This window comes from Homo sapiens, chromosome 18 (genome assembly GCF_000001405.40).
Source record: "Homo sapiens chromosome 18, GRCh38.p14 Primary Assembly".
NCBI lineage: Eukaryota > Metazoa > Chordata > Mammalia > Primates > Hominidae > Homo > Homo sapiens.
The window spans coordinates 74,448,304-74,470,135 of record NC_000018.10 but is presented as its reverse complement, the minus strand read 5'-3'; the positions used below and the strand labels follow the sequence as shown (position 1 = coordinate 74,470,135).

At 46.2% G+C, this 21,832-nt stretch overlaps 1 protein-coding gene across 3 annotated transcripts in view; it reads left to right on the top strand.

The window, feature by feature from the left end:
* The first annotated feature begins 5,487 nt into the window (after window positions 1–5,487).
* DIPK1C (divergent protein kinase domain 1C) overlaps window positions 5,488–21,832 on the top strand; it is a 29,874-nt gene continuing 13,529 nt past the window's right edge. For 2 of the 3 annotated variants that reach the window (NM_001044369.3, XM_047437299.1), the window contains exon 1: window positions 12,828–13,074. In NM_001044369.3, the coding sequence (NP_001037834.2) occupies window positions 12,877–13,074 (198 nt within the window). In that variant the 5' untranslated portion in view covers window positions 12,828–12,876. Of the gene's footprint in view, window positions 5,623–12,827; window positions 13,075–21,832 lie in introns of those variants that run through there. The other variant, XM_017025551.3, reaches the window with a different exon arrangement.

Genomic DNA, 21,832 nt, shown 5'->3' with positions numbered 1-21,832 from the left:
AATGGACAGAACTGAAGTGAGATACAGAGAGTTCAAGAGTGAGACTTCTAATCCACTTTCAATAATGGATACACCAACTAGATAGAAGATCAACAAGAAAATAGAAGACCTGAACGTCGTAGAAACCAATGAGACCTAAAGACATGAATGAACACTTTCAATAATGGATACACCAACTAGATAGAAGATCAACAAGAAAATAGAAGACCTGAACGTCGTAAAAACCAATGAGACCTAAAGACATGAATGAACACTTTCTCCAACAACAACAGAATACACGTTTTTTCTCAAGTATATTCTCCAAGCTACATCATATGTTAGGTCATAAAACAAACCTTAGCAGGTTTAAAATGACTGAAATTATACAAAGTATGTTCTCTGACCACAGTGGCATAAAATTAGAAATCAATGAATGAAGGAAATTTGAAAAATTTACAAGTATTTGGATATTAAATAACATACTTCTTGATAATCAATAGGCAAATATAAAGAATCACAAAGACATTTAGAAAATACTTTGAAACAAATTAAATCAAATGTACAACATGCCAAAAATGATGAGATGCAGCTTAAGCAAGAGTTAGGGGTGAGGGGAAGGGTGACTATAAACTAGTAGATGAGGAAGTTTTTTCTGGTGTCAGAACTATTTTATATCCTGATTGTGGTGGCAGTTACACAAATCTATACATGTGTTATAATTCATAGAACAGTACACATTTTCACACAAAGGCTTGTTCTGTTATGCTAATTTAAAAATAAAACTGTAGAAGCTATATCAGAATTTGTACAGATGATTATTATGTATCTTAAATGATAGATATCTGCAAGACCTTCATTAAAGAAGAACTCCTTAAAGCTCCTGGTACCAGCCGTATGCTTTCTTCAGTTATGCAAATAAAATATTTGATTTAATTACAGGAAAAAAAGTAGGAACAAGACAGGGATGTCTACCACTACTACTACTGCAACAACTACTACTTCTAAACAACATTGCACTGGAGGTCCAAAAATAATTGAAGACACAAGGATTGGAAGAAGGAAATAAAAACATCATTATTTGTAAGCAGGGGAGGAGGGAGACCAAGAAATAGAGAGAAAACTGATCATACCCCTCCTTCTTCAGCGCAGATGTTCTGGTCTGAGACTGACCTGAGCCAAGAGAGGAGAGAATTTGTAATGAATTCTGGAGTCCTAATGTTAAACAGGACTAGACGCTTTACTACCTAAAAAAGAGGCTATTGTTTAGCAGGGAAAGTGACTAATCTATAAGAGTTGCCAAAAATGTCAGGAGCCAAGAGCATTAAAAACACTAGATGCTGTGAACAAAAAGGTCTGCTTTCTGATTGCACCATAATAAGACAAGCTAATTAAGTATGCTGATGAGATGTTCACCCCCTGATATGATAAAAGCAAGAGAGAGACATGGAAGGGAGGCCAGGACCTGCTCTGCAACTTCCCTGCCCCAGTTCCCTCCATCTCCTCCACACAGAGGAGCAGGAAACACAGGCAACTTCCCAACTCAAAGTAAACAAAGCCAATACCTACCCTGCGTTCCTGGAATTTACAATCTAAGACAGCATTGATGTGAAGGGGCATGTAAGGCTTATGGACAACTAAACAAGCCTTTCCCATTAAAACTGGAACCCATTAAAGAAAAAGGGTAAGTGCATTTGGCAGAAGGCATGAGTGAACAAGGGGAAAATGACATGATAGAAGGAAAGAAACTTGGCAGCGAGGCTGGAAAGGGAGCCACAGGGCATGCTGGAGGAAGGCCTGTAGGGAATTAGATGATCAAGGTATTGAGTTAATTGATCTGTGCAGATGAAAGTCAACTTTATTTTTTGGCTAGAGTTATCTGATTCCTTGCATTGAGTGGCATTTGTTGTATGAGATTGTCTTCCTGAGTAATACTGTATCTTGGCAAGCTTGTAAAATATAGTTTTTAAACTTAAAAAAAAACACATGGCTATCATATCTTAGTTGCAACAGAAGAGCCATAACCCATGCTTTATAGAGAATCAGGTTTTTTTTTAATTTCACAAAGGCAATCATGCTTTATCAAAAGACATTCTTTACTGCTTGATATTTTTATTTATTAAAAAACAAGTTTTCTAGCAAGGAATCAGACATTTGTATACCAATGTTTATAGCAGCACCATTCACAGTAGCCAAATGGTGGGTGCAACTAAAATGTCCACCGACCGAGGAATGAATAAGCAAAACATGGTATATACAGACAACGGAAGGTGATTCAGCCTTAGGAAGACAATTCTAAATGACATAAGCATCACCTAAAAGACAAATACTACATAATTCCACTTATATGTGGCCCCTAGAATTGTCAAATTCATAGAGACAGAAAGTGGAATGGTGGGTGCCAGAAGCTGGAGGGAGCAGAGAAAAGGGAGTTGGTGTTTAACGGGTACAGATTTTCAGTCTGAAAAGATGAGAAAGTTCTGGAGATGGATGGTGGTGATGCTCATACAACAATGTGAATGCACTTAATGTCTGTACACTCAAAAATGATAAAATGGCAAATTTTATGTTATATATATTTTACCATAATAAAAGAATTATGTTTTATAATGGGGAATTATGTATCTTGCAGTTACTTGTTTTATCATTAAAAATTAATATCAACAAAGAAAAATATATAATATCATTAATCTATTTATGAGCTGCTTTCATGGTTTATCCTTTACTGACTTTTCTTGCCTTTACTCCTTGTTTCGGTGGCAAAATTATCTAGAAAATTTAAAAAGTGCATATTGACTCAGGAAGTCATGATCGCCTTTCCTCCTTTTATGAAGCACTATTTAGTGAGGTAAAAGTTGCAACTAGTGGTAGGATATGAGCAGTAGGCCTTAAGAGAAATGAAAAAGTGTCTTGGGTCTCGGTTATGTCTGTAGCAGAGGTATCCATGGAAACACTATGGAACCAATGTAATTGTAAATTCATTTACCAACTTCTCCTGAAGTGACTTTTATTTCCCAGTATCATCTTTTGGGGTGTTGTCTTCCACAGATTTGCTATCTGCAGGGAAAGTATTCTTTGGAAGGGCTTCCTGCTGATTCTGAATCTCAAAGTTGGTGAGTGAGAAGAGCAGGCTGAGCCCTCTTCACTGCTATCTGAGGACCAACACCGTGCAACGGGCAGGATGCTGAGTCCAGGAGGAATGGGAAGTCCCCCATTAGTGGGAGGACCAGGTCTGTAACAGACACACAGATGTGCACACACACAAACACACAGTTAAACACACGAGGAAGTGTTAGAAGGTGCTGGAGGAGGGAGGAGTCAAGTGAGGCCCCAGGAGGTGGTACTGGAGGTGGTCTTGAAGGATGAGCAGGGGCCCAGGAACAAGGGAGGATCAAGACTTCCAGTGACAAATATCGAGGAGCAGATGGAGACCATGGGGATTGGAGACTTGTGCAGGAAAGGGCGGGAATTGCACCGGCTGGGAGCAGTTAACAGGGCAATCAAAGGACCCTGGTTGGTTTCCTTTTCCAAGAAAATAACTCATAGCTTGACAGAGGCAGGATTAGAAGAGGCCAGCCTAGAGTCTGCGGCCCACGTCTACAGAGATTACAAGGGAGCTGAGCAAATGGCAGCCTTTGGGGAGAGGAAGAGATGTTGTCATAGTGGTCTAGATAGGACTTGCACACTGGGTACGAGGCCTGAGAGGCCAGTGAAGATCTTTCTTTTGTGTCCCAAAGTGCTGAATGATGGCAGTGATCCCCCAAAACTAAGTCAACACAAAAATAATTCTCCACCATAAGTCACATGCAAGGGAGTATATCAAATTTAGCTTCCCATGATGATTATTTCATTGCCTTTCATGAACTATCCAAAATCAAATTATTTTTTAAATTATTTAATATATTTAATTTAATAATTAATATAATTATATTTTAAAAATTATTTTGAGTTTTTGTGCCATCCTTGTGCCTTCAACATTGTAAGTGTGCTTATGATGCCCATTTAAAATTCATTTAACATCATGTGTCATCAGAGAACTGTAAATTAAAACAATGAGATACCACTACACATCTGTTAGAATGACCAAAATCCAGAGCGCTGACGACACCAAATGCCAGTGAGGATATGGAGCAACAGGAACTTTCATTCATTGCTGGTGGGAATGCAAACGATCCAGCTACTTTGGCAGACAGTTTGTCAATTTCTTAGAAAACTAAACATACTCTTACCGTATGATCTAGCAATCATGCTCCTGGCTATTTACCTAAATGAGCTGCAAAGTTAAATCCACACAAAAACCTGCACACATATATTTATAGCATTCATAACTGCCAAAATCTAAAAGCAACCAAGGAGTCCTTCAGTAGGTGAATGGATAAATAAGCTGCAGTACAAGCAGAAAATCAAATATGATGCGCTGATGAAATAAATGAGTTATCAAGCCATGAAAGACATAAATGAAGCTTAAATGATTATTGCTAAATGAAAAAAGCCAATCTGAAGAGGATACATGCTGTATGATTTCCTAGGAAAAAAATCAGTGGTTGCCAGGAGTTAGTGGGGAGGGTGAGATGAGTAAAGTGACATGTAGAGGAATTGTAGGGCCATGAAACAGCTTTGTATCTATATCTGTATCTGTATCAACTGTATCTGTATCTGTAACTGTCACTGTGTCTGTATCTGTAACTGTCACTGTATCTGTATGTGTATCTGCAACTGTATAGTATCTGTATATTTAAAACTGTATCTGTATTTGAAACTATATCTGTGACTGTAACTGTATCTGTTACTGTATCTGTATCAGTAACTGTATCTGTAACTGTATGGGTACCTGTATTTGTATCTGTATCTGTATTTAAAACTGTATCTAGGCCAGGTGCGGTGGCTCACGCCTGTAATCGCAGCACTTTGGGAGGCCGAGGTGGGTGGATCACCTGAGGTCAGGAGTTCGAGACCAGCCTAACCAACATAGAGAAACCCTGTCTCTACTAAAAATACAAAAATTCACTGGGTGCGGTGGCACACGCCTGTAATCCCAGCTACTCGGGAGGCTGAGGCAGGAGAATCACTTGAACCCGGCAGGCGGAGGTTGCAGTGAGGAGAGAGAGCACCATTGCACTCCAGCCTGGGCAACAAGAGCAAAACTCCCTATCAAACCACCCCCCCCACCCCCCACTTGCCACACACACACAAACTGTATCTATAACTGTATCTGTAACTGTAACTGTAACTGGATCTATGTTTGTATCTGCATCTGTGTCTGTAACTGTAACTGTGTCTATCTGTATCTGTATTGGTAACTGTATCTGTATCAACTGTAACTCTCTATCTATAACTGTATGTATAATTGTAACTGTATCTGTATCTGTACCTGAAACTGTATCTATATCTGTAATTCTAATTATATCTGTGTCTGTATCAACTGTAACTGTATCTCTAACTGTATCTGTAACTGATCTGTATCTGTAACTGTCACTGTATCTGTATCTGTAACTCCATCTGTAACTGTTTCTGTATGTTTATGTTTGCCTTGTATTTACAATGGTGGATCCATGTCATATGTTTATCCAAATTCACAGCATGTAGAGCACCAAGAGTGAACCCTAATGTGAACTATGAACTTCAGGTGATAATGACGTGCCAAGTGTAAGTTTATTGATGGTAGCAAATGTACCACTCTGGTGGGAGATGTTGATGTGGGGGAGGATGTGCCTGCCAGGGGGCAGGAGTAGATAGAAAATCTCTGTACCTTCTTAATTTTGTTGTGAATCTAAAACTGCTTTTAAAAATTCTATTTTTAAAAATCTGGTGTTGGGTGTGAGAGAGAGGTGGAACCAAGGATTTTCCTGGCTTTCTGTATTAGGAGGTTACTAGGTAGATTGTGCTTTCATTGGTGGATTTAAGGGCTCCCAGGAGTACTGGGTTTGAGCAAAAGTTGTCTGAGAGTAGAAAGGCTATGAGGCCCTTTTTGGGGAGTGGGGCCAGCTGCCACCAACTCTCCTATGCAATAGTGCAGTCTTCACTGATGAAGCCAGTGCTGTCTTACACCAGCATCCGGAGAGCTGAGATTAAAGGGGGTGAGGGAGATGGTGCTGATGTGACTCTATGGCTTCTTATATGCTGACCTTTAGTAACCACCTGATCCTTTGGTAAGGGGAATCTAACTTCAGAGCCATCAGAATCTTTAAGAGATTATTTGGCAAAGCAGCCATAGCTTTTTGGATGTGAACATCCTGGGCCCACCAAAGAGTAAAGAGCCTTCTTCTTCCGTCTGCTGCTGAGAAGAACCCACCCAGTCGGTGCTGATTTCGTGTCAGGCGAGCAGGTCAGGCTACAGGCTCTTTTGGGCAGGCTTAACAATGGAGCACTGCTCTCTGCAAGAGTTGCACGTTATTTGCTGAAAGAGAAATGACAAATCCTAGGATGTCACTTTTTCCTAAGGACCCTGGTGTGAGAGTTCCAAAGCCAAACAGCACGATATGTTTTCCCCTGCGTTGTGCTTTCGCCTGAGTAGAGTGGGCTTGACAGGAATCTTCATGCGCTTGCCTGAAGACAGTGCCGGGTACGTGGGGGTGAGGGCGGGAAGGAGTAGCATCAAGCATCAGTAGGACTCCTCCTGTCTCTCCCTTTGCACTGGAGGGAAATCTCAACCAGCAGCTGTGTCTCAGTTGGAATGAAAATACAAGAAGGGCGGCCAAAAAACGGTTAGGAATTTCCTAAAGCTTAGTCCCAATGAATGCAGTGCAACTGTGGGTGGTTAGGAAATCCCAGAGGGTTACAAACCAAGCTGAGTCCTATAAGGAACAAAGTGCTTCATTTTGTAAAAAGGTTTCCAGCCAACCTCAACAAACAACAAAAGCATCGCAAAACGGAACAGCAAAGACTCCAGTGAGTGGTTCTAGAGGTATGACATTCAAAACAGCCAAGCAAATAACGTTCAGCATCTTCAGTTTTCCACTTCCCAGGCCTTCATCAATATGGTAGTTGTTCTAAGATCAAAGGATAACACTGTGCTCATGTGTACTCCGGGAGCTGGAATCCCCATGGCACCCACAATGAAGATGGGGCACCCCACGTTCTTGGGCTGCAGCTCCCCTGATAACTCCATGACAAACAGTATTTTCCTCACCTCTTGTGCAGGCTCTTGCCACTAGGTCAACCCAGGCAGTGCCACAAAGTTGAGAGAATGTGGACTAAAATTCCTAAAATGTGGTTCTATCATAAAAGGACCCAGCTGCAGGACAACGAAAGAATGATTACTTAAATTGCAGGGTGACTTCTAGCTATCAAAAATAAAAGCTATGACTCTTCACAGGGAAATGCAATGTAAATGCAGACTGAAATACCACCGTGCACCCTCTAGGATGGTTATAAGGAATATGACAAGTGTTGATGAGGATATGGAGAAACTGGAATCCTTAGACGTGGCTGATAGGAATGTCAAATGGTGCAACCACTTTGGAAAATAGGTTGGCAGTTTTTTTTTTTTTTTTAAGCAAAACATATATGTACTATGAGACTCAGCAATTCTACTCCTAGGAATTGAAGAGACATAAAAACATACGTCCACATAAGACACATGCATATGTGTCACTGTGTACACAGTGTACAATAGCCAAATAGCAGCACTATGTACAATAGCCAAAAAGTAGAAACAATTCAAATGTCCTTCAACTGAAGAGCGGATAACACTGTCTGGTGTATTCACACAGTGCAATGGAATGCTGTTTTTAACACAAAATGAACAAAGTAGTGATACATGGTGCAAGACGGATGACCCTGAAAAGCATTAAGTGAAAGAAGCCAGGTGCAAAAGATGCCTGCTCTATGATTCTGCTTATATGAAGTGTCCAAAAAACCCCAGCTGTAGAGACTGATTAGCAGTTGCCTGGGGCTGGAAGTGGGAGCATGGAGGGAATGCAAGTGAGCAGGAGGGAGCTTCCTGGATGATAGAGACGTTCCACAGCCACACAATGTTGGTGATGGCTGCAGAACTCTGCACATGTCTTGAGAATCACCGAATTGAATGCCTAAAACTCAGGAAATTTCATGGTATACAAATTATACCTCAATAAATCTGCTTAAAAACAATGATAGTAGTCAGGCACCATGGCTCATGCCTGTAATCCTAGCACTTTGGGAGGCCAAGGCAGGAGGATCCCTTGAGCCCAGGAGTTTGAGACCAGACTGGGCAAAATAGCAAGACTCCATCTCTACCAAAAAAGTTTTTTTTTCAATTAGCTGGGAGTGATGGTGTACAACTGTGGTCCCAGCTACTCAGGAGGCTGGGGTGGGAAGATGGCTGGGCCTAGAATGTAGAGGCTGCAGTAAGCTGTGGTGATGTCACTGCACTCCAGGCTGGGCAGCAGAGTGTAACTCTGTCTCAAGATAAGTGAATAAATAAATAAGATGACGACTATAACCCAGCAGTAGTCTGAAGACCTAAGGTGTGGAAGAGCTATGATCCCCCTGCCCTTATAAAGGAGGCATGGGCCAGGCACAGTGACTCACATCTGCAGCCCCAGAACTATGGGAGGCAGAGGCAGGAGGATTGCTTGAGCCCAGGAGTTTGAGACCAGCCTGGACAACGCATTGAGCCCTATCTCTACAAAAAATAAAATTTTAAAAAATTATTGTAACCAGGCAGGAGGATTGCTTGAACCCAGGAGTTGGAGGCCACAGTGAGCTATAATCACAGCACTGTACTCCAGCCTGGGCAACAGAGCGAGACCCTGTCTCAAAAAAAAAAAAGAGAAAGAGAAAGAAAGAAAGGAAGGAAGAAAGGAAGGAAGGAAGGAAGGAAGGAAGGAAGGAAAGAAGGAAGGAAGGAAAAGAAAAAGAAAAAAAGAAAAGAGAGGAGGCATGAGGTTCAAGAATATGTAACCTCTCATCCTACAGGCAGGAGTTGGAGGGGCAAGAGCTGTTGTCCTGAGTTCCTGGGCAGATGGTTGAGAGACTCGCTCAGGCCTGCAAGATGAGGAGATGAAAAGTCATCAGGAGAAAAAGAAAAATGACAGGATCCTGTGCCTTGGCCCACTCCAGTTCCTCTGCTATGGCTCTCACCCGAGTCCTTCTGGGGATCCTTATGGACATTTGGAGTGCAAGACCTCACCCGTGGCCCTGGGACTGGCCTTCGTGAGGGCAGCAGCAGCAGCAGCCCTGGCTCTGGCAAAGCCCCATGGGGCAGGGATAGTGGAAGGGACAGACAGTGACGGACACGCAGCATCTCCCTTTGCACAGAACCCACTGGAGAGCTGCTTGATGGTCTCCCTCACCAAGGAGGGCTGAGCCCACTTTCTCCCATCTTTATATCTTCGACACCAAAATAGAGGTGCTCAGTAGTGCTTTGAATGAATGAATGAATGAATGCATGAATGAATGAATGAACTCCTATCAAGTTAAGCTTTATTACAGAAAAATGAACATGGCTGGGAGATCACAGCAGACGAAGCAATAAGTCTTTCAAAGTGGTTCAGTATGGCCGAGGCTGTATCTTTCCTATGTCCCGCTCATTGGAGCAGCTGCAGAGACCAGAGCGGCGGAGGCCAGGACTCCCATAACTGAGTCTCTTTGGGTAATTCTTCTCTTTAATAACACGGCTTTACTATTACACAAATAATATGTGCTTATCTGAAATAAAATTAGAAAATTGACGTAAGCAAAAAGAATAAAATAAAAATCACCTGCAATCCTTCTACCTGGAGATAACACTAGCAACATTTTCATACCACTTTTCAGATTTTGTGTGTGTGTACATTGCATTAAGGATATGGTATGCTTTAAAAACAAAACAAAAACAAAAACAAGTACGATGGAATCACACGGAACATAATGTTTTGGAACTTGCTTTTTCCCTCGATGATATCATGAACATCTGTACTGGTCAAGGCTCTTTCCATTGTAAATGACAGAAACCCAACCCGAACTTGCTTAAGCCATGAAGAGAATGTATCATTTGGGTAATTGGAAAGTCGGGAACTCGGAGGACATCCTCAGAAGTCCCTCTCCATTCCTCCCCCTTCCTCTGGGCTGGCCTCCCCTTCAGCAGATTCTCCCCTTGTGGTGACTCTTGGCCACCACATCCTCAGAGCCTGGCCATCTCAGCCCAAATAAAGCTTCTCTTTCCCAACTGTTCAGAAAAAGCCTGAGAAGCCTGCGTGCTTGGCTGGGATTGGCGTGTTGGGGCCTGGGCTGCCTGACTGGCCCCTGTGACTGGGGAATGAGTAGCTGATCTCAGCCCAGGGATCGGGAGCCCACCCTGGGCTGGCGCTGCAGATGGGGTCAGAGCTTGAGAGGGTGTGATTTCCCAAGGAAGCTCTGTGCAAGGAGGAGGGGAAGAGGCGCAGGACAAGGAGAAACGGCAAATTTCTCCTGTAATATCTTTCCTGCCCACATACACCTCACATCACAGTTTTTATGCCAGCATCATTTTCCCACCAGCGGAGGACTAAGGCTTATTTCACCAGTCCTCATGGCACACAGTAGGTTACTTCCAATGTTGCTATTACAAACTGTGTTCTAAAGAACATCTTGATGCTAAATATCTGCCTATATCCTACAAAAATTCCTAATTACCTTAAATCAGTGCAAAACAGTTCATAAGCTTTACAAACTAGGCAGCTTCAGGGCCCTAGGCAAAACTGCAAAATAAACAAAACTTCCTGTGGTATCAACCTAAGCTGCACTCTCCACCTTGTGCTAGAGAGCACCATCACTTCCGTGTTAAAACAGTGCTGAATATGAAAAGGATTTCTTTACTGTGGGATTATAAGTTTATTTTCTTCTGAATACTTTATAAAATGCCAAAAGAAGTGGGCTTCATAACGGATTTTTAAAACCCACAAAAGTAAAACACCATGTAGATCTGAATGTGGTTAATTTTGATTTCAAGTTCTGCTTTCCCCCCTGTAATTTCTGTTCCTATGTTTTAAAAGATAAGTAGTCACACTGCTTCATCTCATTCTTCCCATTCCTGCACTCCCCTCCCCACACCAAATACAATTCTTGGGAAAGGAAAACAACTTCACATCAGGTTGAGATTTCTTTTTCTCCTTTTAGGTACAGGGTCTCGTTCTGTTGTCCGGGCTAGAGTGCAGTGGTGTGATAACAGTCATTGCAGCTTCAAATTCCTGGGCTCAAGCAGGTCCCCTGCCTCTACCCCCAGAGCAGCTAGGACTACAAGCCCACATCACCATGCCTGCTAACTTTTTTTTTTTTTTGCCCAGGTTGGTTTCAAACTGTTGGCCTCAAGCAATCCTTCTGCCTTGGCCTCCCAAAACACTGGGATTGCAGGCATGAGCCAGCAGGCTTGGCCTTGAATTGAGAGTTTAATGCAGTATTTTACTAGGATGCTTTCTATGCTCCACACCTATTTTGAAATGAAACAACACAGTTTCCATACAGCCAGCCTGTGAAAATATGGTACTTCTGGTTGGGCGTGTGCTGGGATGGATGGAGGTGGGGGGAAGCTTCACACAGAGAGAGCTTCACCTGGCCTTACCGCTGTTGATTGAGTGACACCCAAACCCTGCTGTTGATTGAGTGACACCCAAACCCCAAGGGTCTGTTGCATTCGGGGCATATTTGTGATGTGCCCGAAGTGCTTCTTGGGGCTCAGGGTTTGTTCATCTGATGTTTGGTCATTCCTGGGGACTCCTACCACCGAGCCAGCCATAAAACAAAGTTAAAGCAGCGAGTTGCAGAAGAGACAAGGGCAAGAAGCCAGCTCCTGTGGGACAATCACAGCACGCAGTGATCAGGGCATGTTTCTATTATCTCTAAACTCGGGAACGGGTCATGTGAAATTCAGGCGCAGGGCAGGCGGGAGAGCGATCCGGGATGGGCTGGCACGTACTGGGCACTGAATAAGCTTTTGTTCAGTGAATGCAGGAGCCCCGGGCGTGGCGGCTTTCACAGCCCCTCAGCTGTGACAGTTCCCCTGGGGTGGCGCCGCCTCCCCCTATCCTGGGGAAAGGCGTTCAGGGAGTGAGAAGCATCCCTGGGTGGGGTGGGGGATGCTGGTGAGAACCAGGGACGCCCTGTGGGCCCAGGGCCAGCCTGCTTTACAGAACAATTGGGATGGGAACACGGATGCCTGCTCTCCCAGATGATACTGCGAATCTATAAATATAGACTTAGACACACGTGGTGGACGTGTTCTCCTCCCCGGGGTAACGGAGATGTTTCCAGAGAGCAGATCTTTGCAGCCCTGAGAAGGACGCCCGAGAGTTTGTGCAGCCTGGGAGACGGCGGGGGGTTTGATTCAGGGGTGCCCGTGGGAAGGGGAGGGCTGGGTCGTCCCAGAACCTACTGACTGTCCTCGACCCCCGACTCTCTGCATGCTCCGGATCTCACTCCCGGGAGGGCCCGGAGAAAACCCAAGTTGGGGTGAGACTCAGAGGGGGGCGGTTCTAGTGGAGAGGTAAACGGGGGGGGACAACGCTGCAGCCCCCTGGGGCGAGGGTGCGCTCTACAGAGCGCTGGGGGCAAGGGCACCTGGCCTCTCAGAGAAGTTGGTGGGGGAGGGCAATGTGACAATTAAAGATATGTAGTCTTGAGGAATCAGTCCCCAAAGAGAGAGGCGATTGAATCTACCCGGATTTCGTTTAAGTGGGGAGCTGGTCTTCTTGGGGGAAAAAAGTGCAAAAAGAAAAGTAGAGAGGGTGGAGCAGGGGATGCGGCGAGTGGACCCCCAGTGGGTGCTCGGGGCGCGCGGGGTGTTGCTGCTGCTGGACGCCCTCCCCGCACCTCCGCCCCAGGCGCGGGGCCTGCCCCAACCCTCGCGCGGCCCCTCCCCCGTTCCCCCTCCCCGCCGAGCGGGCCTGAGCCGCGGAGCAGCTACGCGAGTGCGGAACTCGGGGCGCGGGCGGCGGTGGGGCCCGGGCGCGGGCAGGGCTGGCCATGGCGCGGGCGGCGGGCGCGCGGGGCCCTGCCGGGTGGTGCAGGAGGCGCGGGCGCTGCGGGCGGGGCACGCTCCTCGCCTTCGCCGCGTGGACCGCGGGCTGGGTGCTGGCGGCCGCGCTGCTGCTCCGCGCGCACCCGGGTGTCCTCTCCGAGCGCTGCACCGACGAGAAGAGCCGGCGCATCCTGGCCGCGCTGGTAGGTCCCGCCGCCGCTCTGCCCCGCGCCGCGCGTCCGGGGAGGGGGGATCACACCCGCTCCCGGTCCCCAGCCTTCCCGGGGACTTGGGTGGCGGTGGCACCCGCCGGGGACATGGGTTCCCGACACCTGCGTGGAGTGCCAGAGGCGCACGCCCCGGTCCCCCGAATGGGGACGCAGCCGGCAGTGCTCTGTGGGCGCGCTGGGGGTGTCTCTCCCCTTTTCGCCAGAATTCGCCCTTTGTCCCCAGACAGCCTCTCCGTCCTACCCTCGCCACCCCTGAGCCCGAGCTCCGGAAGAAAGTTTGCGGGTCTGATCCGAGTGTCCAGGGAGGTGCCGCGTCCGGTGTCAGGCCGCCGGGCTCGGGGCGCAAGCCAGTGCGGGGTTCGGGATCCGGGGTGCCACGCCTCTGTCTCTCGGGTCCGCAGCGCTCCAGCCCAGCCCGCGTTCTGTGATTCCACCCTGAGCTGCCAGGTCACCCCCTATCTCACCGAGCCCATGCGGAGGGCTGGTCTGACCCCGGCCCCCCTGCGCTCCAGAGCCCAGGCTCTCCGCGGTCGCGGTCTGTGGGAACCGACGCAGTGTGCGCTCGGGCGAGCAGAGAGCGCTGCGGAGGCGGCTGGGACCGGGAGGATCCCGGGTCCCGGTCCTCGACAGGCGCCTCCTAACCTGGGAGGGCCCGAAAGCTCGCACCCAGCAGCTCCTCAGCTGAGCCAGAGAATTAGGGAGAGAAAGAAACATTTCGCATTTTGCAGACTGCTGCGTACGCTGGGCTCACATCATATGAATGAAACGCCCACCTTTAGTTGATTGGAAACTTGGCTAGCCGTTCTTTCAGGCGCAAAGGAGACTTCAGTAAAGGTGGGAGTCCCCTAAATCCCAGAAAGGGGAAGATAGTAGCAGCTACTCTTACATGACTTCTTAAGCGATTATTCATTTCCTAAAATAGTGACCATCTAAGCATTTGGTTTGAAAAGAGATCTATTTTCTAAAAAATCTTCAAGAAACACATGGGAAGTTTTCAGTCCAGTTGCTTACATATGGGTGGGCCTTTTGAGATTGTAGATTTTCAAAATGTGGGACCACAAAGTTTTTAAAGTAAATGATTTTTTAAGTGAGATTGAAATTGTTTTTTAAAAAAATGAGCCAGGTATACTAGCTAAGACAAGTTATGCTCCTAATTGATTCTGACGCGTGTCATCGTGTCATCGTGAATTGAACATAGGTGAGTCACTCATAGATTCTATTGACCCCTTCTAGTGTTACACTGAAGTTTTAGCAAGTTTTGTTGTTGTTGGTTTGGTTTTTTTTTTCTTTTTCTTTTTCTTTTTTTTTTATGGAGTTTTGCTCTTGTCTCCCAGGCTAAAGTGCAATGGCGTGATCTCGGCTCACCGCAACCTCCACCACCATGCCTGGCTAATTTTGTATTTTTAATAGAGATGGTGGTTTGTCCATGTTGGTCAGGCTCGTCTCGAACTCCCAACCTCAGGCGATCCGCCCACTTCGGCCTTCCAAAGTGCTAGGATTACAGGCGTGAACCACCACACCGGGCCAGTTTTATGAAGTTTTAAGTTGCAAGAGCTCTTTGATTTTTCTTAGTAACCCATAAAAGTCCTTTTCATTTATAAATTTTTCCCCCCTGGTTTTCTTTTTTTGTGAAGGGAGTGCTGATAGACTAATTATAGTAAACAAACATTGATGGTTTAACTAGAGGGGAATACCTATTTACAAATTTAATGTAGTAATCCTTTAGATTAAGATAGAAAACGAATGCCATTTTTCATTTACCTTTGGTTAAGTGAGGAAAGGCTTAATAATGGAAATTAAATCGTCTAGTATAATTTAAGTAATTGCTAATCATGACTTTCCCAGCATTCCAGGTCATGAATTAAAACCAATTCTGTTTAGAGGCTTTACCAATATATCTTCAATGGCAGCCATATGGAATCATTTCTAGTCAGACATAAAGCTGGAGAGGTTGGTTCTGCCCCTGAAGATCGAAGGTTTGGCAGTCTTTCCTATTGCCAAAAGAACGATGTCGGAGGCCACATCCATCTCCCTAGGTGTCGATGTGACGCTGTCTCCACGAACTGGTTTGTGGGGGAGCAGACTTTGCCACAGGCCCTGTTTGAGTTCCTTACTCTTTACACATTCTCAGAACTCTTTCTCCCCCTGTCTTCCTGCCACTTCCTTTTCTACCGTTTTCATCCTGGATGTGTTGATGCGAGATCCACACAGTGCCCTGGCTCAAATTTTACCCAGGACACTCTCAGGACAGGGTTTAAATACGACCCCAATCTTCACAATCCCAACTCTGCTGGGCTGAGTTGCCAAGTAGAGGTTGGCATTGTGGCTTCCGAGGACTTGAACTGAATTGAGCCTCTGTCTCCGCTCCCCTGGCACTTTCCAATTCATTCTGCCTGGCTTTTATCCGTAATAATAAAACTGGTTGTTATTTTCCTGATGGGCCTCCAGACTCTCATTAGCTTTCACTCTGAATACCAGAGCACAGAAGAAACCACTTTGCCAGCTGAGCTGAAGGGAGACTTTCTGGCAGCGCCCAGGGAGTTGTGGTGGATTCCCCACCCCCAGTAGCGGGGGCTGCCAGTGTTCCCAGGCTCTCGCCTGGCGGGGGGCGTTGCTGGCCTGGCAGGGGTGAACCCACCTGTAGGATAAAGGAATCAGAGGAAAAAGCTTAGGGACGAGTCAGGGGATGGGGGTCAGAGGTCTCCATGTTCTCCCCAAGCCCACACTCCACCTCCCCAGGGAGGTTCCCCTCTAGCCAACCACACCCCCCTGACAAGTTTCTAGAAGAGCCAACCTGAATTGTTCCAAAGGAATTGAGTCCCTGGTCTTCCAGCTTGGATTTTCCTGGTCAGACTCTAGGGCTCCTCTTAATGGCAGCTTTAATAGGAACAACACACTGTAATCAAGAAATAGGTGCACTCAGATCTCTGGAGGCCCGCTTTTCTAGTGGGCTGTGTCAGCAGGCCCAGCCAGCTGGGGAGCTAGCTTGGTGCTGGATCACTGATACACCTGGCTTCTCATTCATTCTGCAGGCTGAACTCTTCACACAGAGGCTGAAGATGTGGGCTGCTGCCTGTTGACTCTTCCTCTGGGAAGGCACTGTGCGAATTGTTTCGTGGGGCTTATTTCACTGAATTCCCTCAACAACCTCTATGAAGTATTTGCTTTTAGTATCCCCATTTTACAGATGGCAAAACTGAGCCCCAGGGAGGTGAAGTGACTTGCCCTGCTTCACACGGTGAATATGGTGAGGAGCCAGGACATGACTCTGTGTAGTCTGATGGTAGCAATGACGTGACAGTAAGTGGCTTCTCTAATAATGGAAACCCTACATAACAACTCGTATACTTAACCCTTCCATAGCAAATCATTTTCAAAGCATGTCAAAGATATTCCCACAGACTCTGTTGTCCTGAAGGCTTAACTGCCTTTTGGCTAGTTAGGTCTTGATGGAATTTCATGTAGTTGTCTACATTAGAGATTCGGTTTTAATAGGGCAGGCTTATCTTTCTTTGCTGCTGTGATAGAAACTGTCAAGGTCCCAATGGGACTACAGCATCCAGGGCTCATATCCAGAGAGATTTCTCAGCAGCGAATGGTTCTGCCTGAATGCTCGGCCACATTCCTAAAGTAGGGAGCGGTTACACAGTGGACGAGCTAACTGAGCTGAGATTCTGCAAAGCACAGCATAGCTACTTCGGGAAGGAATACCACTGTGAAGTCTGAATGTTGCTAACTGCCTAGGAGCTTAATGCTCCTTAAAAACAAACACACAAAAGGAAACCCGGCCCTCAGACATGACCTCTGGGACCTTATCAACAGTTTTTCTAGACTAGAGTGGACAGGTTTTGTTTTTGCCTGAGAACCATGACATAAATTAGAGACATACTAAGCAATGATTGCAAAGAGTGCTGCTTACCAAAGCTGGGGCTGATTTGATGGGAATGTGCATCAATGTAGATATTTTCACATCCATGAGAAGCACAAATCCACTGCAAATGTTATTAAATTTTAAAAGCACACTAGAGTTAGCTGCAATGAGACTTTAACTTGTTTTTTTCAGTTTATTTTCAACTCCAATACCTGTGGATTTTATATGCGCACACATTTGGGTACAAAAATGTACCTGTCTTTAAGCTGGCCTTAGGAACTCCTCCTACGCACAGAAGGAGTCTGAGAAAGACTGATTTTTAAAATGGACCTGCATAAACAACTTCTATTGAGTTAAAAAAAAACCCAGCTATTTCAACAGGACATGCTGCTAATAAAATGATTCTACTATTATCTTTAACATGATGAAAGTTTTTGGAGTTTTTGTTTGTTTTCTTGAGACAGGGTGGCTCACTGCAGCCTCTACCTCCCAGCCTCAAGCAATCCTCCTGTCTCAGTCTCCCAAGTAGCTGGGACTATAAGTGTGGCCCAGCTAATTTTTTTTTTTTTTTAATTTTTGTAGAGACAGGGGTCTTGCCATGTTGCCCACCCAGGCTGGTCTTGAATTCCTGGGCTCAAGTGATCCTCCTGCCTCAGCTTCCCAAACTGCTCGGATTACGGGCATGATCCACTGTGCCTGGCCCGATGAAAATTTTAAATTCAAACTTGCAATTTGTACATTAAGTTGACTGTTTTTTTTTAAAAGGCTGGATGAAATCTTTTTCTGTGCTTAGCAGGCACAGACATGCAGAACAATGCTGCAGACTTACTTTAACACTGGTAAGCCATGGGAGACGAATTTTGCACTCTACATAAGAAGAGTAGGAACTGAAACGCCAAAAATACTTCATTGTAAAGGATATCAAGGAATATCTGTGCCATAACCACACTTGTATACAGACGGTCCCTGACTTTTAATGATTTCACTTATGATTTTTCAACTTTATGACAGGGTGAAAGTGAGATGCATTCAGTAGAAACTGCACTTTGAGGATCCATGCAACCGTTCTGCTTTTCACTTTCAAGGCAGTTTTCAATAAATTACGTGAGATAGTCAACACTTTATTTTACATAGGCTTTGTATGAGATGATTTTGCCCTGCCATAGGCTGACGTAAGTGTTCTGAGCATGTTTAAGGTAGGCTGGGCTAAGCGATGATGCTCAGTGCGTTAGGTGTATGAAACGCATTTTCAACTTACTCTGGGGTTGTTGGGGTATCATCCATTTTAAGTTGAGGAAGAGCTGTGTGCGTTTTAATGCTCTCTTAGGACAAGCGCGGTGACTGGGATACTGAAAAGTTAGGTTATAAACCCAAGACCTTACCTGTGGAAGCTGGCAGGTCTGGTCAGCGCTTTTGTCACCTGCTGCACTTTCTGCCCTTTCTGACACCCAGTGTCGCCGCAAGAAGCAGGCGTCAGGGAGGCAGGTTTACAAGTCAATGTGCTGATCTTCAGAAAAACAGCCAAAATGAACGTTTCCTTCCAAAATCCATGAGCTGGATGCCAAATTCAAAGTTATACCATTGTTCTAAATGTCTCACAACTCCTGTTTGGAATCGCCCTCCAAATTCACAGGGGCAAATCTCGTATAGATTTGTATTTCATCGATGAGGCACAGTTTGTGTTAAACACGGTGCTGTGGGGACCTGGCCCAGTGATGCACTCACATGGCCATGATTTAATGAGCACTGGGGTAGGAGAGGAAGACAAGAATTCCACTTAGGGGTGGGACTGGCTTCCGGGCAAAGGTTGATTTGGCCAGGCCGGGTAGGAAGCGTGTAAGTACAATGGAGACACCCAAAACGGCATTTCGAATAGCGCAGCCCAGCCTGTCAGTAGGTGCTTGCTTCAACTGTGCCCTCTCCTCCCAGGGGCTGTTTCTGGTTCTCTGAACACACAGGGCTACTTTGAAACTCGGGGCCTTTGCACAAGTTCTTCTCCGTGACTCAGCTGCCCTCTCCCTTGTCTGCTAAGGCAGACTTCTAATTCGCTTTCAAAATTGAGCTCAGAGGCGTCTCCCCCAGGAAGAAGATGCCCCGGCCCCCCACCCTTTCCTGGCCAGGGCTGGAGAGGGAGCTAGCTTTGAGCGAGCCACCTTAGGCCGGGCACTGTGTTGGGACTGTCTCCCTGTGACCTTGTTTGACTCCATTACACAGTACCATTGTCCTCATTTTCCAGACTCGGAAACAAGCCACACAGCAAGCCAGGGGCAGAGCCCAGAGGCAGACCCAATCTGTGCCAAGCTTAGCCTCACTGTGGCCCTGCCCTGTCACTCTAATGTCATTTAGGAATTTCGAAGCCTGTCCCCTCTGCTCCGTGAACTCCGGAACCTGGCAGCTGTGGCCAGATGGTGGCCCATCCAGGCTCATGCACAGCTGGGAAAGCTGGAGCTGTTGATTTGGGAGTGGCCCAGTCCCAATCCCAGTGAGGCAGAGAGGAGGTGGCTTCTTGGCCGGCAGGTGTCTCTCATGGCTAGTGGCTATGGTGGCCACAGTTCAGATGAGAGGGGTGAGGGCCCTGGCAGTCACAGTAGGCACCCTCCTCACTCTGCTTTTCACAGGCTAATGGAAAACCAGGCCCAGTGTCTCTGACATTTTTCTCCTGAGCCTCCTCTCTCAGTTGCAACCAGGACCACATCTCCCCGCCCTCCCCTCCTCAGCACTGTGGGACTCTGAAGCTCCCAGCTTAGGATCACACCTTTGGCTGCACTGGAGTCCTGTTGTGTGCTTTTCTTTCTTTTTCAATGGTTCTCTACTTTATGCAAAAGTACTTTTGATTAAATTAGATATGTGATAACACTATAAAATTTTATGGGAGTGAATCCAACTATTTTGGGTATCATGCTTACAGAAGCTTTTTTTTAATTTAAAAGGAGATCAGGAAACAATTTTTTTTGCACTTTCTTATCAGATTTATAGAGACGTGAAACTATGTAAATACCAGAACAAGTAGGGGACAAACCCCAACAAGTAAAATGAACAGCCCTTACTGTTCCTGCCATCTATATCTTCTTGCTCACGGTGGCCTCAGTTCCTTATCATTCGTCCTCACCTCACCTCTCAGGGCTCTCCTGAAAGGTCTCAGAGGAGCCTGACCAGCTGCCGCTTTCCTCCGAAGGGCGATGTGGAGGTGATCGCAAGCAAAGCATGCTGGGCGCAAAGGGTCCGGATCCTCCCATGCACCTTTCATGACCCCGTGCCTGGGAAAGAGTGACCCGGGTTAAAGCCAAAGAATGACATTTAACCAAGATTCTGTTGAGTTCAATTCCAAGATGAACACAGGAGGTGCACAACTCCAAATGTGTTTAAAGCAGCTGGTGAGTGTGTGTTCATACAACTTCCTAAAGGATGTGGGTTTCCAAAGACATAAAGTCAGCCCCAGGCAAATAGGGTGGTGTCACTAGCTCCAGGGCGAGGTTCCTGAGTTTCTATCTACAGGCCTGTCTCGCGTGCATCATTGTGTTAGCCAAGCAAGACCCCCCTCATCCCCGCCCAATGCATTATACAGAGATCTAAAATGCAGCGGCTGGCAGGAGCACCCCCGCAGCAGGAAGCCAGGGGGGCAGTCAGACAGCTTGGCATTGGCCTTTCAGGCTGTTGTACTACCTGAAATAGTTCTGAAAAATATCTAGATACCTCTTTTAAGCACTGGGAGTGCTTCTTTTCAGTAAGCGCTTTGAACGATTAGCCTGCAGTGTTTATAAAGGCCCCCAGTCCCTCTCTTATCTGCTGTTTTGGGGCCAGGTGTGTCTCAAAATTCAAATCTTGTTGAATGTTAGAAAGATCATATAGTACCTTATATTTTGCTTATGGGGCAGTGCCAGTAATCAAGTTAATAATTCTACAGCAAAATGTATGCGAATTCACATCAAGTCAAACACATATAGATACAAATAGGCTCGTGTCTTTTCAGCTGGGTTTTGACACCACATAAGGTCAAATGAGTCATGAAAAACTCGTAGTTTTCAGAGGCTTTTTGACTTTGGATTTTTTTTTTTGAGACAGATTCTTGCTCTGTTGCCCAGGCTGGAGTGCAGTGGCACAATTTCAGCTCACTCCAACCTGCGCCTCCCGGTTTCAAGTGATTCTCCTGCCTCAGCCTCCCTAGTAGCTGGGACTACAGGCATGCACCACCATGCCCAGCTAATTTTTGTATTTTTAGTAGAGACCAGGTTTAGCCATGTTGGCCAGGCTGGTCTTGAACTCCTGGCCTCAAGTGATCTGCCCGCCTCGGCCTCCCAAAGTGCTGGGGTTACAGGGGTGAGCCACCATGCTCAGCCTGATTTTGGAATTATTTATACATCTAGACACTGGAGGTCCAGCTTTTGACCTCAAGGAGCTACTTGTAATCTGCTTGGAATGGGTAAAGCTGATCTACCTAGCCACCTGCGAGGCTGGGCAGTATCTGATTATGAACCCAAGGCTGTTCCCAGGCTTCTCCTGATGCCTGGTGCTCGTGCATACACTGTGGTGTGCACACACACTTCCCTCTTGGCCAGTACAATCATCATGCAGGGAGGCAGGGAGTGTGACGCAAGGAAGGAGTTTGAGGCCCAGAGCAGGTAAGGATGTGGCAGCGTGGTTAGACCATGGAATCCAAGCTCAGTGGCCCTTGGCCCCATCCTTTGTCCCAGCACCAAGCTGCCCTTTGCTACTGTTGAGCCTTCAAGGTCCTTTCTCACAAATGAAATGGGGTGAGAACAACAGCTTTGGGATTTGGTATTTCTCATGCCCTTAGAGGAACGAGGGTGACTCTGTTGTTTCATGTGCTATAGAAGTTCCTGGAAGGAAGAGCGGCCTTTA